This window comes from Homo sapiens, chromosome 2, assembly GCF_000001405.40.
Source record: "Homo sapiens chromosome 2, GRCh38.p14 Primary Assembly".
Taxonomy (NCBI): Eukaryota; Metazoa; Chordata; class Mammalia; order Primates; family Hominidae; genus Homo; species Homo sapiens.
This window is the reverse complement of record NC_000002.12, coordinates 218945863-218962206: the sequence shown is the minus strand read 5'-3', so window position 1 is coordinate 218962206 and position 16344 is coordinate 218945863. Positions and strand designations below refer to the sequence as shown.

Here is a 16344-nt window from a genome sequence, read left to right as displayed (position 1 = left end):
CTCCCACTCCCTCCCTCCCGGGGCCCAAAGAAAGACCGGCGCAAAACCATCTGCAGGCGCTTCCAGCGCTTTATAGTTCTTTCCGGGACAGACGGACAGACAGACAGTGCGGCCCGCTCTGTCGGCCCGCATCATTGGCACCTTGGACACGGCCCCAGGCCCAACTCAGTCCCTGGTACCCTACCGGGAGGATTCCGGTCCCGCCCCAGCTCAGCACCTCGGACAGTTCCCGGCCCAGCCTACCCCCCTCCCCCCTCCCTCCGCAAACAACCAAATAAATTAAAAGGGGCAGTGGGGAGGAGCAACAAAAAAGCTAAGGATAAGGAAGCGGGATGTCCCTCCTCCAAGGTAAGAAGTTTTCTTTTCCTCCCACCTGTCCACTGAGGCGCCGCGGCCGGGGTGGTCTCCCAGGTTGATTTTGCCTCCAAACCTCAGCCTCCTGAAAGAAGCCGGCAGCCCCTTCCCCCACACCCCCCAGCTCCCAGCATGCAACACGTTGGAAAAGGTGGGGAGAGGCGGTGGGGGTGGGGCGAGGGACCATCCTGGTGGCTGTCTGGATACCTGGGACTGCAGTTTCTCCTGGCACCTCAGTCGATCCAAATTAAAAACTAATATTCCCTTTGATCAGGGGAGAGGGGTGTGGTGACTCAGTCAGGAATAAAAAAATGCAAGCTGACACAAGTGGAGGAAGAAGGCAGACAGGAGGGAAGATGGTGACACATGACAGGAGCAACAAGAAGGGCAGATGGGGACACAGGTGCAGGAGGAGAAACAGGGGTCTACGGGGTACAGTCAGGCAAGGGGTAAGATGGAGATGCAGACACACAAACCCAAGGAACGGAAAATGGAAAGGCAGGGAGAGGGAGGAAGAAAGAGAGGAACAGGAGAGAGAGGGAGAGAGAGAGAGAGGAATGCAGACAGGAGGAAAAATGAAGACACAAAAAGGAGGCAAGGAAATGGATAAAACCGAGGGGGAATGGGCTGAAGGGAAGGGGGAGACCCCGGCAGAAATGGAGAAATGGGGGCGCAGACAGACGGGAAGAGTGAGGTTGGAGTGCCTTTCCCGCGCTCATCTTCCGTCCCCACTCCACGCCCAGCAAATCCAAACACCGCGGCCTCTGGTGTCCCGGTCTCCACTTTCCCCTGAGGGGCATGGGCGTCTCCTCCTCCGCCCAGCCGGGGCGCTGAGCGGCGGTAACAGCGGCGGTGGCTTTGTGGTCCCGGGGGGTCCGAGTGTGTGTCAGGGGCTGGGGCGGGGGATGGGCGCGGCCCCTGGGTATCCCTAGCGGTCCAGGTTCATAGTCCAGTGCTTGGTTCCGGCCGCGCAGCTGTCCCTGGCGGCCGAGGAGGCGGCGGGCGCGCCCCCGCTCGGTGGGCCCCCGCCGCTGGCGGCGGCCTCGCCCTCGTTCTTGAGGTCTTGAAAGACCTGCGTGAAGAAGTGGGGGTCGGCGTTGAGCCGCAGCATCTGCGGGCTGAGCCGCTGGATGAGGCGCAGGCAGCGCTGCCAGAAGCGCTCCTTGTCGGGCTCCACGAGGAAGGGCTTGAGTGGGTAGGAGATCTCGTTGCCCATGTAGGAGTAGGCGAGGTAGAGGCAGGTGAGGAAGGCGGCCTGCAGCTCGGCGGCCGACGCCAGCTCGTCCCCACGCAGCGACTCGCGGCACAGCAGGTACACGAACACCAGGTTTGCAGGCGTAATGAAGGCCTGGTCTTGCCAGCCCTGCAGCAGCAGCGAGCGGTCCACACCGCGGAACCAGCCCACCAGCTCGCCCGGGCTCAGCTCCTTGAGGCGATAGCAGCGTCGGCACACGAAGTCGCCCAGACAGCGCAGCAGCTCGCCGGTGGACGCCTGCACGATGACCCGCCGCGGCGAGCCGCCAGGCACCGGCGGCGCCACCTGCGGGGCTGGGGGAGGCGGCGGCGGAGGCTTTCCCCCGCCCGAGCCCGGCGGCTGAGCGGCCGCGCTGCCCCCCGACGGTGGCTCGCAGGTGGCGGCAGCCGCGGGCACGGTGGGCACTGGCACCGCCAGGGGCTTGGCGGTGCCGCCGCCGTCGGGGGGATCCCGGCCCTTGCGGAGAAGGTTCTCGCGGTTGCGTTGCTGGACCAGGGGGTCGGGGCCCGTGGATGCCGGCTTGGGTGTCACCTTCTTGCTGCCTTTCTTCTTCTTGGCGGACGCGGCCACCAGGCGCTTCCAGGTGAGCGCCGAGATGAGCACGGACGGCCGCTTGAGTCGGCTCTCGCCTTTGCCGCCCTTGCCCACTGGCGGCGCCCCGTAGCCCCCCAGCGCCTCGTCCCCCGCGGGCGGCGCCTTCTTCTTCTCCTCGGGCAGCCCGCCGGGCCTCCGGCCCTTGGCCGAGGAGGCAGGCGAAAGAGACAGCACTGTGCCCATCCTGCAGAGCGGGGCCGGCGCCCAGGCCCCAGCGGGAGCCGCGGGCGGCGCCGCTGCTACTGCAGCCCCGGGGGACCCGGCGGTGGGGGGCCTAGCCCCGGCCCGGGCGCGCGGACTGGCGGGGGAAGGTGGCTGCTAGGCGGCTCCGCTGCTCTAATCCTGAGCTGCGCCAGCTGCAGCGTCAGCCCCACCCCTTGGGCCCCTTTTTTCGTCGCGCCGTGCCCCGCCTCACGCGGCCAATCCGCTCCCGAGTTGCACTCCTGATGGGCAGCTCCAATGACCAATAGACTCTCGCACTTCAATTTCAAGTCCCGCCCCAATCCCCACCCTCCGCCCTGAGTCTTTTCCCTTCCCCCGAGCGGAGGAAGGGGAAGGCGGTGGTCGTCGTTCGAGTGGCCTCCTCAGGGTCAGAGTTGAGAAGGGGTGGTGGCTGCTCCTGCCTCCTCCGGATCCTAGGGCCTGGACCAGCTTGTTCTGATGCACTGGGTCGCGGTAGCAGATAAACCATGGGAACAGCTCTCCTTCCCTCTGCCTTTGAATTTGTGTGGGGGGCCAGTGTGAGCAGTGAGTGCCCTCACCGGATGCCCAGGTCCCAGATGGGTCGCGTTGCACTGGCTCCTCCAATGTGACTGTCAGGTCTGTTTCCTCTTCGCGACCCCACCTCGCCCCCCACCCCCCAGGTCGCTAGGGGGGCTGCAGCAGGCACATTTCTGCCCTGCCTGTTTGGGAGTCCTGGCAGAGCCTTCTTGCAGGTCACAACCCGCCTTCTTGGGGGTTCCAGCTTGAGGGGGAGAGGGGGAGCAGCAAGGTCTCAAATATGCCCCTGAGGCTTCTGCTTGCCGTCCTGATTCTCTGCAACTGAGCCTGTGGGGCAGACCCTTGGCTCTGGTCCCTGGGCAGCTCCTCTCGGTTGGTTGTCCCCACTAACACACACAGATCTCATACTTGGGTGGATGATGGATAAGGTTGGTCCCTGGGGAAACGCTAGAAATTGGATCACTTGGTCTACCCAGTCTTGGATAGTGAACGGAGCCTCCTGTGTGGACGGAAGCCCAAGAGGGTTGGACCAACCTCCAGCCCAGCCCTGGGTCCAGGTTGAGGTGGGTTTCATCATTAAATGCTTCCTGCAGGTAAGGTTCCAGCTGTCCCCACTCCCAGGAGCAAGCTGTTAGGCTGGGTCCTGTCCACTTCTCTCTGGGTCTGTCTGTTACCTCCTGAGTACCCATCAGCCCTTTGCCCTGGATTTTGGACTCCCCAGGCCTTACCTGCAGGTCTTGAGCACAGCTAGTTCTGGACCTATTCTATCTGCCTTGTTAGATCATGTCCACCCTTCTTGGAGCCTGCTCTCTGTGGCTCCCCCAGCACAAGAGCCTTCAGGCTTCTTAAGTAAGTGGACCTTGTAGGTGCATATGGGTTCCATGTGGAGCCAAACCCCTGCCTATGTATTTCAGTAAATTCTAAGGATTGCCCTTGGAGTCACCTCCATGCTCCTCACAGACCGCAAACATAGCTCCAAGGATCCACTGCTGTCAGGGTTGGTTTGTGCATATATGTGTGTGTGTGTGTCACTGCAGATAGGCTGTTCTAGAATCCACTTGGGCTGCAGTTCCAGCTACCAGAGGTACAGAATTTCCCAGCCATTCCACAGCCCCTGGTCACTCACACCCTCCTGGAGGCCTGTGGTCTGCCTGTCTCCATTCCCCTCCTCTTTACCACTGTGCACATGCAGCCTTGTACCTTCTCCCTAACTCAGCACCCAATATGCACTTTTTCAACAGGGTATCTCTGCTCCCTAGGATCTGATCTTTATTTTCTTGCAGCCCAAGCTGACCTTCCCAAACTCATTCTCCTCATAGTTCTTGAAAGTGTTCCCTCTTTTCAGCTCCTGTAATTGGCCCCACTTCCTCCTACAAGGTGTTCTGAGTCACTCTTTATCTGCCAACCAAGGAATAGTCAGTTCACCGGTAGTTAAGGACAAGCCCTGTAGAGACTGAGTTGCACTGGCGGAAACACTGGGCATGTGGATCTAAATGGCACATGAGTCCTTCCAGCGCTGCTCCCAGGAGTCCCTCACTGGCATAAGGCCTATTGTTAAGGTCATTTAGGACCACGTCTTCTAAGCAGCACCCACAGAGTGTCACCACTGTGGTACCCTATTCCCGGCCCAGCTCTGACCTCCTATTGTCCTCTTGGTCAGAACCAAGAATTTCCTCCTCTGCTTCAGGGACCCCAAAGCAGGTGCCTCAGAGGGTCCTACTCCCCTTCCTCACTTTCCACCTTGCTCTGCCTCCAACCCTGTTTCTGGCTCACATGCTCCCCACCCTCCTGCTCTGGTTATCTCTCCAGAATCTCTGAGCTCCTTCCACTGGGCCAGAACCCTCTCTCAGAATGTCAAGCTCTTGAACTCCCACCTCCTCCAAGAAGCTTTTTTGATAGATTGGAAGGGACCTAATACTCTTTCTGACTTCAGCCTTTCCAGCCTTTTCCCATCAGCAACAGTGGCTACATAACAACTTGGTTAAGGGCTGGGCTCTGGGTCTAAGATGTGCAAGATGGATATGGATGGAATTTTAAAGACAAGCAGACAAGCTAATCAAAGAGATCCAGAAAGAGTAACAACATTGCTGTTGTATATAAGCCGGTGGCATTGAGAGCTGAGAGGGAGGGTTATTATGTTTCTGCAGGGGGAGCCCAAGGGGAATAAGCCTAGTGAAACCAGAAAGACTTCATGGAGGAGGTGGGCTTCATAGAAGGTTGGTGGCTTTCCCACATTTGCAAGTGTACTCTTCTGGTTAGGTTATGTTTGGGTTCATATTCTGAGATTCATCTATCTTCATTATAATAGTATCTCTGTGTTGCTTCTCATCTCTCCATCTCCCTTATGTTCCTCTGGGGCAGTGCTGGTTGTGTCAGACTTCCTTAGATGGGAAAGCCCCTGAGGCCAGTCTCCTTGTCTGTCTTCATTGCTCTGTAGGTTACCTAGAACAGTGCCTATTCAGATTACTGGTTATTCCTGAAGGTTCTTTAAGGCAAATACTCTAGGCCCAGACCAAGAACTGGAGGGCCTAGACTGAGGTTTTAGCCTGGATAGGATCTGGCCTTATTGATGAGTGCATCCCATCAGATTCACCAGAGATGCTCCTCTCACTCACCCAACCTGGGCAGGTGGGCCCCATCTTTTAAGAGAACATCTCCGGACAATGCTGCTCACACTTTGCCTCCCTTTTGCTCTTCTTATCTCCCTTCTGAGAAGCCATAGTCTGGGAGGCAGGACACGGGAGTCCTAGTCTATGGCTGCCAGTTGTATGACCTTGGGGAAGTAATTTCAGCTCTCTGGGACTCGGTTTCATCATATTAAAATGCAAGGGTTCTACGGATTTGACTCTTATTATCAGATAAAAATGAATATTAAAAGAACAAGATAACATTTTAGGAATTGGACTAGAGGAGGATTCCTAAAGCCTCTTTCAACTCCACAGTTCTGATTCTAAACAAAATCTGTCCTGTGAATCTGTTTCACTCTCCAGCTCCAGCCCTGTCTGCTTCTCCCTAATCTGTTTCTGTCTGATGGGCTCAGTCTTTGTGTGCACAGCATCCATGTGAGGCCTGCACTTCTGCGGTTCACCCCAGGAGATGAAGGGGAGGGGAGCTTAGGCTCTCAGCAATGTAAATCTCCCTAGGTCCCTCCAAGCTTTAGAGGGGCCCCTGAAAGGTGAGAAGGCAAAGAAGAGGAGGGCAAGATGGCTGAGGCCCAGGATATCCCCAGTAAACATCAAAGGCCCCAGAAACCAAGGTCATTGCACCTCCCTGTAGGGGCCCCTACAAGGAGGCTAATGATGACACAGGTTCTTAAAACAGCCAGGATGGAGACCCAGCCTGGGCATCTGAGTGCCTGGATCCTGCTGCCCCCCCCCCCACCCTGGCACCCCCAACTCCCTTGCCCATCAGTCTCAGCTCCTGAGGTGTGCAGAGGGGGTGGGTATGCACGAGCCCAGACTTCTCTCCCTCTCCTGAGGACCTTACCCCAGGGGAGAAGTGGGTGGCTAAAACAAAGGAGGGGAGCAGAACCCCTCTACAGATAACAGTGGAGGGGGGAGGGGGTAAGCAGAGAGAAGAGAGGAATTGACAGAGGAGGTGCTGCTAGCTGTCAGGAGGGAGACCCAAATTCTCATGTCTTCCCATTTCGCAGGCTGTTTGCTAGAAGGACTTAATTAAGGAGCCCAAATATAGTTTCTTTTGAACAGTGAATAGGGCTGGGAGCACAGATGAGGAATGTGATGCTCTGGGGTGGGGAGAGAAGGGACCAATGCTGAGATGCTGGAGGGCCCAGGGTGAAGGGGACAGAGAAGACAGGGGTGAGCTGGTGACTCCTTTTCCCTGCCTTAAGCTCTGCTGCTTTCCTTGATGGAAGGGGGGCCATTTCTTCCTTTCCCATCCTCTGTCCTGATCTCCCTCCAACTCCCTGGCTCCTGCCTTCACCTCCTTTACTGTCCCCTGAGAACAGCTCTCTCTGTCCAGTCCTCCCAGCACTCACCAGAAGCTTTAAGTCTTGGTTCACCTTCTGCCTCCACCAAGCCCCCTTTTTGCCTCCTCCCTTTCGTCCCCCACTCCTTCTCCTCCCAGGCCCCGCTGGCGCCCAGCATAGCACTACAGATGTAGGAGCAGATCAAGAAGGGTGGGGGTGGTAGCTGTTGCTTTTCTGGGATATTCTTAGCCTGTCTGGGGGCTGGAGCTGGAATCAGCGTTTCCATCTCAACCAGGCAGGTGGCTGCCAGAAACTGCCACTGTGACTGGGTCTTCATCTGGTTCCATATCCCTTATCCTGTCCCTTCCTCCTCTATATTGATTTCATCGATGAACACAGACCCTCTGAGAGTCCAGCCTTCCCACCCTTGTGCCCTAGATGGAAGGTTTCCTCTGCCTATCAGGCATAGCCCCAGGAAGGTGTGCAAACCTCACTGGAGGCTCTGCGGGGAAAGAAGGGCCTTCGAGAACTCTAGCTCAGATGCTCCCTAGAGTGGAACACAGCCCTCTCCTCTCTGCCCCCAGGCCCTCTTCTTTCATCTGCCCCCAGCAACCCCTGCATGGTACTCAGTCCCCAGACTGTATTCACCACCATGAAGGCCTTTCTTATCTTGATTTACAGGAATCACTCAGGGGCCCTAGAGTTTCAGAAGCTGCCTCCTGAAAGCGGCTGAACCCTGGAGTCCAGGCCTCCTTTGGGCCAGAACAAGGGGCTCACTGACCCAGATCTCTCCCCACATCTTTTTTTTTTTGAGACAAAGTCTCACTCTTTTGCCCAGGCTAGAGTGCAGTGGCATGATCTTCACTCATTCCTGGGCTCAAGGGATCCTCCCACCTCAGCCTCCCAAGTAGTTGGGACCACAGGCATGCATCACCAGGCCTGGCTAATTTTTGTACTTTTTGTAGAGATGGAGTTTCACCATGCTGCCCAGGCTGGTCTCTAACTCCTGGGCTCAAGCAGTCTGCCCACCTCAGCCTCAAAGTGTTAGGATTACAGGCATGAGCCACCTCGCCCAGCCTTCTCAGATGCCCTTATCAGTAGAGGGAGGGGCAAAGAAGAAATCTCACTCATTCACAAATCGCACAAAAAATGTTTGTCACCTTAAGAGGGACAGACAGTGCAGGGTCTCCTATGTGGGTTCTGAGGTCATTCGGTCTATGTTCAAATCCAGCCCCTCCACTTATGACCTGGGGCCCTTGGGGCAAGTTTCTTAATTCTTCTGAGGTCTATAAAAGTGGACCATACAAGGTGCAGTAGGAAGAGATCACCATCCACAGTCGGGCTGAGGCTGAAAGCACGTACCAGATCAAGTATGAGGAGCTGCAGACGCTGGCTGGGAAGCATGGGGATGACCTGCGTTGTGCAAAGACAGATCTCCGAGATGAACCAGAACATCAGCAGGCTCCAGGCTGAGACTGAGGGCCTCAAAGGCCAGGGGGCTTCCCTGGAGGCCGCCATCGCAGATGCCGAGCAGTGGGGGGAGCTGGCCATTAAAGATGCCAACACCAAGCTGTCTGAGCTGGAGGCCGCCATGCAGCGGGCCAAGCAGGACATGGCACGCAGCTGGGTGAGTACCAGAAGCTGGCCCTGGACATCGAGATCGCCACCTACAGGAAGCTGCTGGAGGGCGAGGAGAGCCGTCTGGAGTCTGGGATGCAGAACGTGAGTATCCATAAGAAGACCACCAGTGGCTATGCAGGTGGTCTGAGCTCAGCCTATGGGGGCCTCACAAGCCCTTGGCCTCAGCTACAGCCTGGGCTCCAGCTTTGGCTCTGGCGCCGGCTCCAGCTCCTTCAGCTGCACCAGCTCCACCAGGGCCATGGTTGGGGAGATCGAGACCCACAATGGGAAATGGGAAGCTGGTGTCCGAGTCCTCTGACGTCCTGCCCAAGTGAATAGCTGTGGCAGCCCCTCCCAGCCTGCCCCTTCTGTGGCTGCCCCAGAGTCCGGGAGGGAGGCCACTGTGCAGGGGAGCACAGGGAATGGGAGACCCACCTGAGGCTCAGCCCTAGCCCTCAGCCCACCTGCAGGGGAGTTTACTGCGTGGGACACCTCCTTTGCCCATATCTCCAGCTACAAAACAATTCCGTTTTTTCCCCCCAAAATAAAACTTCAGCTAGTTCTACCAACTGGCAAAAAAAAAAAAAAAAAATGGACTATCATCATAAGGTTGTAAGATTTTATTTAATCATGCAATGCTCAACAATGCTTGTATATCACATGTGCATGGTGTTCATAAATGTTAATTGTTAACAAATTATACTGTCATCATTATTTTTACAGAGCAGGAGGAAAGCTTTGCCTGACCCGTGCCATTAGCATTTTTTTTCTCATTAGAACATTTTTCATTAAAGGGCCAGGGTGGTACTATCATTTCTTTTTGTTTGGTTTCTGAAACCCAAATTTATATCTGTGCTTTCCTCTCAGATACTGTGCTCATACCCACTGCTACTCAGACTGTTCCTGGGGGTGGTTTGATTTGCTTCCTAGGGTCATAAAGACCGACAGCATATTAGGCACTGGTCCCCTTTTCTGGTCCTGTTGCAGGCCACTTTAATTTTCTGAAGCTCTGAATATTAATTCTGGGCCAGGTTCCATGCTGGCCCCAAGTCCTGACCGTGCTTTCTGGGAGCTGTACTCTGGCTACTCATTCCACACCCCATGGTCTCCCCAAAGCTCCAGAGACTCTATGGAGAGTCAATTCTGCTTTTCAAGGGCTTTGAGGAAAATGTTCAATAAGATTATTAAACCACATGAGCAGATACTATTTGAGAAACTGTAGCCTACACAGTACTGGGCTAGGTGGTGGGAACACAAAAAGGTGTGAGGTAGGGCTCCAGCCTTCAAAGAATGTACAGCATAGGTGGCAGAGATATGAAAAATAGTGAGAAATAGCAATAAAATGATGTGTCCTAGGGCCAGTTACAGATAATGGGATTTGATGACTCGGCTAATCCTGCCCGCCCCCCTCCACCTTCCACCATCACAGCTAATCCATCTCCAGCTTGTCCTAAATTCATATGCACACAGAGTTAGAATCCATTTTTTTTTTTTTTTTTTGAGACGTAGTTTCGCTCTTGTTGGCCAGGCTGGAATGCTATGGCGTGATCTCGGCTCACCGCAACCTCCACTTCCCAGGTTCTAGCGATTCTCCTGCCTCGGCCTCCCGAGTAGCTGGGATTACAGGTATGTGCCACCATGCCTGGCTAACTTATTGTATTTTTAGTAGAGATGGGGTTTCACCGTGTTAGCCAGGATGGTCTCGATCTTCCGACCTCAGGTGATCTGCCTGCCTTGGCCTCCCAAAGTGTTGGGATTACAGACGTGAGCCACCGTGTCCGGCCAGAATTCATTTTTAACTGGGGTCTGGCTCCTGCACCTGGAACTGTGTTTGCTCCAGTGCATGGCCTTCCTTGTCCAACCCCAGGCTGTGATGATAAGCACTGTTCCCAAGGTAGAACCAGGCCTCAGCAACCCCCTGCTCACAGTGACAAAGGGTCCTACCCCCTCTGCATGATAAGGGTTATGAGTAACTTCTGTGTGAAGATCGTGGTAGGTCTGCTTACTGCTCCGACGTCTTAGACAGGGGCCTTTTGTTGACTTCCTATTTGTCCAGAATTGGGGGCGGGTGGGGGATGGGCTTCAAAGCAGGTTCATTAATTTACACTTGCCTCTGTCTGGTTCCTAAATATAAAGACAATTCTTTATGTTGACCTCCTTTGAGTAAAAAGACATTCCTAATTTATAAGCTAGAGCCCCACATATACTTGCTTTTGAGTAGGGAGCAGAGGCGGGTAAGGTCGTCCACTAGATTACTGGGTCCTAAACTACTCTGCCCAGCAGAACCACCTGGGGAATTTTGTAAACATATAATTTCCGGGCTCTACCTCAGACCTATGGAATCATAATTTCTTTTTTTTTTTTTTTAGGCGGAGTTTCATTCTTGTTGCCCAGGCTGGAGTGCAATGGCATGATCTTGGCTCACCACAACCTCTGCCTCCCGGGTTCAAGCGATTCTCCTGCCTCAGCCTCCCAAGTAGCTGGGATTACTGGCGCAGGCCACCATGCCCAGCTTATTTTGTATTTTTAATAGAGACAGGGTTTCTCCATTTTGGTCAGGCTGGTCTTGAACTCCTGACCTCGTGATCAACCCGCCTCAGCCTCCCAAAGTGCTGGAATTACAGGCGTGAGCCACCACGCCTGGCCTGGAATCATAATTTCTTTGAGTGGGCTCAAGATGAAATCCCTGTAAGAAAAAAATTAAAAGGGAGGAGAAAACTCTAGGAAATGGCTGGGTCCCACCTGTTCTTTCTGGAGAGCACCACTGTTGTCTCTCTGGCCAAGCCTCCCGCCCCACCACTCCATGGTAGGAATACCCTAACTTCCTCCTGGGAAACCACTTCTCCCACATTCTCAATCCATGTGGCTTACATGGGGCTAAGCCCTCCACAAGACATAGATTAAAGACATAGACTTTGCCAGCTCCCATCCTAGTGACAAGGGTTCAGGGAGGGGCTGGTAACCCAAATCAGGCCAATGAGACTCAATTCTTGGAGTTTTAGAGAAACTGTTGGGAAAGAGAGGCTTTCCTTCCTCTGAGGTTGTCAAGCTGGTGGAATGAAAGCCTTGATCTGCTGGTGACTCTCTTGTCCCCACATGGAGAAAGGCCACCTGAAGTCATGCACAGGAAAGCAGAGTCAACAGATGGGGGGGACAGATTCCTGACATAATTTTAGCCCCTAGATCCAGCTAAACCTGATACAGTTGTATGACGCCATAAATCCACACTGCCCCCACCCCCTGACCTTTTTTCTAATCTTAAGGTAATTTGAGTTGCAAATCTAATTCTTGCAAGCAAAAATATCCTGATGAATGGAACTTCCTGCCTGGAGATTTTCCTTGTGGAAATTTGTAACTTCAGGGGCATACATGTTTGGTCTGAATAAATGAGGAAGGCAGTCCCTGATATCTGGTTGTCAGTTAATGACAAAATCTGGAAGAGGCACTGTGGACCACAACCCGGGTTCTGATCCTCTCAAACCTCCCAGTCCAAACCATAGCTGGTGTTTGGAGTTCATCAGCTTCCAAGGACCCTTCCTTAAAGGAAAAGTCATTTCCCTGAGGCCTGCACAATTGTCAAGTCTTTCGGGGCTGCTGCAAGACTGCATTCCTTAGGTATCAGCTTCCTGCTCAAATAAGAGATTTGATGCTTTACCGTCCATCATGCTTCTGAATCACATTTGTCCACAACAAGTGTAATAGGCAGCTGTAGGCACACAGAGCCGCTTGTTATCATCAGGGCTATTAGCACAGTGTCTCTGGAGAAATGGGGACAGAGGTGGGTTTGAGCTTTAAGCTGCCTGAGTTCTTGTTGGCTAAGACTACAGGACCTCTTGTCTGGACTGCCTTTGGGGAGCTTTCTCAAAGGAGTGATTGGGGCTCTGATCAAACCACAATTACCTGGTTACAGCATGGTTCACACCTGCCTTTTAAAGAAACTCCAAGGCTATTTTCAAGTAGTTTGTGTATTATTCTGCAATGGGACAATGTTTTTCTATCCCACCTGGTGGAATTCAATGGGTAATTGAACATCCAGTCATAATTCATCTTTTCATTTTTTCCATTCATTCATTTACTCGGTACAAATTTGTACGAGGAACTGTCTTTTAACTTTTTTTTTTTAATTAAATCTGACTTTTAGACGAATCCTATTGCAGGTGGAAGGTTATGCTGTCTTAGTTGGTATGGAGACTTTGTTCTCCCTCCAAAGACTATACATTTCCAGAAAATGGACATTTCCAGAAAATTTCCTATTTTAAGGCCGATTAATAACTTTAATTACATCTGCAACAATCTCTTTCACCATATAATGTAACATAATTATGGGAGTATCATGGGGCAAAAAAACCATGGAGGCCATCTTAGAATTCCAGCTGTCACTGTATCTATCTCTTTACCTATCAATTAGGAGAAAATTCTTCATTTTGTTGTTGTTGTTTGTTTTTAGACGAAATCTTGCTCTGTCACCCAGGCTGGAGTGCGGTGGCATAATGTCAGCTCACTGCAAGCTTTGCCTCCCGGGTTTAAGCGATTATCCTGCCTCAGCCTCCCAAGTAGCTGGGATTACAGTAGCTCACCACCACACCCAGCTGATTTTTGTATTTTTAGTAAAGACGGGATTTCACCATTTTGTCCAGGCTGGTCTCAAACTCCTGACCTCAGTTGATCCACCCGCCTTGGCCTCCCAAAGTTCTGGGATTACAGGTGTGAGCCACTGTGCCCGGCCTGTTGTTGTTTTTGAGGCAGGGTCTCAAAAACCTGTTGCCCAGGCTGTAGTGCAGTGGTGCAATCACGGCTCATTGCAGCCTTGATCTCCTGGACTCAAGCAATCCTCCCGCCTCTGCCTCCAAGGTGCTGGGACCACAGATGTGTGTGCCACCATGCTTGGCTAATTTTTTAAACTTTTGTAGAGATGGGGTCTCTATGTTGCCCAGCATGGTCTTGAATTTCTGGGCTCAGGCTATCCTCCCACCTCGGCCTCCCAAAGTGCTGGGATTACAAGCATGAGCCACCACACCTGGCCAGTTGTTCATACTTTATGTAAGTGAGACCATACTATATTAATCTAATACTTGCTTTTTTTTTTTTTGCTTTACATTAAGTTTGTAAGATTTATTTTTGTTGATAACCTTGTTGATTTTTATTTTTCCTGCTGCATAACATTTCACTGTATGAGTGTAGTAAGTTTTACTTATTTGTTCTCTTGGTGACGGATAATTAGTTTGCTTTCAGTTTTTTATTATTACAAACAATTGTGTTATAAATATTATTTTATATGTCTATGTCTCTGGTGCACATGTACAATCATTTCTCTAGGAATATGCCCAGTGGAGTTGCTGGGTTATTGGGTATACATATTCAACTTTACTAGATCTTGCTAAATTGTTCTCCTAAGGTGTTGTACCAACTTACACCCTGCAATGCATACGAGTTTCTTTTTTCTTTCTTTCATTTTTTTTTTTTTTTCGAGATGGAGTTTTGCCCTTGTCATTTGTCACCGAGGCTGGATTGCAATGGTGCTATCTCGGCTCGCAGCAACCTCCTCCTCCCGGGTTCAAGAGATTCTCCGGCCTCAGCCTCTGGAGTAGCTGGGATTACAGGCGCGTGCCACTACACCCAGCTAATTTTTTTATATTTTTAGTAGAGACGGGGTTTCCCCATGTTGGCCAGGCTGGTCTGGAACTCCTGACCTCAGGTGATCCACCCGCCTCAGCCTCCCAAAGTGCTGGAATTACAGGCGGGAGCCACGGCGCCCAGCCTGTGCATGCAAGTTTCTATGGCTCCGTATCTCCACCAACTTGTGATATTGTCAGGTTTAAAATTTTGGTCATTCTGATATATGGGCAATAATTCACTTTAGTGATATATAAATTTTACTTATTCAACAAATAAATATTTATCAAGTGCCTCTACATGCCAGGCAGTGAACAAAATAGACAAAGTCCCTGCCCTGTAGAGTCGGAAAGGCCAACAAATATATATTTTTAGATACTGATATAAGTATTATATAAAAGTATTAATATTATAATTAATAGTTATATATATTAATCGCATGTGGCTTTTCCACTGGCTTACAAGACCCAGAATGATCTTCCCTCTGCCCTTACCACTTCAACCCCACCCCTTACTCTGTCCCCACCACACTGGCCTCCCATTTTGGCTTTGCACTGGCTGTCTTTGTCTACTTGGAACACCCTCTCCCAGTTACAGACAAGGCTTACTTCCTCACCTCATGCAACTCTTTGGTCAAAAGCCATCATCTTAATGAGGTCTACCCTAATCAGTCTGCTGTGGACTATTCGTGGCCCCCAAAATTCATTTGTTGAGGCCTAACACCCAATGTGATGATATCTGAACACCCAATGTGATGATATTTGGGGCCTTTAGGGGGTAATTAGGTTTAGATGAGGTCCTGAGGGTGGGGCCCTCTGATGGGTTTAGTGTCCCAAGAGAGCTTGCTGTCTGTCTGCCAGGTGAGTACACACAAAGCAGGCAAGCCTGGAAGAGATCCCCCACCAGAATCCTGCCATCCTGGCATCCTGACCTCAGACTTCCAGCCTCCACAACTGTAAGAAATAAATGTATGTCGTTTCAGCTACCCAGTCGATAGTATTTTGTTGTGGCAGCCTGAGCTAACTAAGACACAAATTGCATCCTGCCCCTGGCCCTGCCAGTCTCTCATCTCAATCTCCTGTCCCCTGCTCCATTTTTTTCTCTGGAATTTGTGATCTGCTAAACTACTAGATAATTTTATTCATTTATTATGTTTGTTTCACCACATACATACTAGAATATGAGATCCAGAATATTTGTCTTTTTTGTTCATAAATGTATTCTAAGTGCCTAGAATTCAGTGAATACTTGCTGAAGGAATAAATGCTGTGGAGGAGGCAGCATTCTATTTCATATAGCATCTGGGAAGGCCTCTTTGATAAGGTAGACATTTCCCAACTGTTACTGGAATTGAGCTTTTTTTTTTTTTTTTTTTTTTTTTTTTGGACAGAGTTTCACTCTTGTTGCCCAGGCTGGAGTACAATGGCGCAATCTCAGCTCACCACAACCTCCACTTCTTGGGTTCAAGCAATTCTCCTGACTCAGCCTCCCAAGTAGCTGGGATTACAGGCATGCACCACCATGCCTGGCTAATTTTGTATTTTTAGTAGAGATGGGGTTTCTCCATGTTGGTCAGGCTGGTCTTGAACTATGACCTCAGGTGATTCACCTGCCTCGGCCACCCGAAGTGCTGGGATTACAGGCGTGAATCACCTCGCCCGGCTGGTATTGAGCATCTTTTTGTGGTATTTCTTCCTTTTGTGACCATCTAGGATTTCCTCTTCTATTAACTACCTGTTCATCTCTTTTGCTTTTTTTTTTTTTTTTTTTTGAGACAGAGTCTCGCTCTATTGCCCAGGCTGGAGTGCAGTGGCGCGATCTCCGCTCACTGCAAGCTCCGCCTCCCAGGTTCATGCCATTCTCCTGCCTCAGCCTCCCCGAGTAGCTGGGACTACAGGCACCCACCACAACACCCGGCTAATTTTTTGTATTTTTAGTAGAGCCAGGGTTTCACCGTGTTAGCCAGGATGGTCTTGATCTCCTGACCTCGTAATCCGCACACCTTGGCCTCCCAAAGTGCTGGGATTACAGGCGTGACCCACCACGCCCAGCTCTCTTGCTTATTTTCTATTGATTGGTTTATCTTCTCTTTTAATTTGTAGATTTTTTTAAAATAAATCTTGAATGCCAGTCCCTTGTTAATTACATGTAGTTTATATCTTCTCCTAGGCTACATGTTACTTTTTTAAAAAATGGTGTCTTTTTGCCTGTAATCCCAGCACTTTGGGAGGCCAAGACGGGCAGATCACCTGAGGTTGGG

At 51.6% G+C, this 16344-nt stretch overlaps 1 protein-coding gene and 1 pseudogene across 1 annotated transcript, besides 1 other annotated feature; one reads left to right on the top strand and one right to left on the bottom strand.

Moving 5' to 3' along the window:
- Positions 1-51: 51 nt before the first annotated feature.
- On the bottom strand, positions 52-2541 carry CDK5R2 (cyclin dependent kinase 5 regulatory subunit 2). The gene has a single exon (NM_003936.5). It carries the CDS (start codon positions 2384-2386, stop codon positions 1283-1285), a length of 1104 nt encoding a protein of 367 aa, NP_003927.1. The 5' UTR covers positions 2387-2541; the 3' UTR covers positions 52-1282.
- Positions 2289-2558: a silencer, noted in NCBI's record as "silent region_12338". NCBI's record gives its function as "represses an Ori minimal core promoter by ATAC-STARR-seq in GM12878 lymphoblastoid cells {active_cell/tissue: GM12878}" and the evidence as "EXISTENCE:reporter gene assay evidence [ECO:0000049][PMID:35858748]".
- On the top strand, positions 8156-9006 carry KRT8P30 (keratin 8 pseudogene 30; annotated as a pseudogene).
- Positions 9007-16344: the final 7338 nt, after the last annotated feature.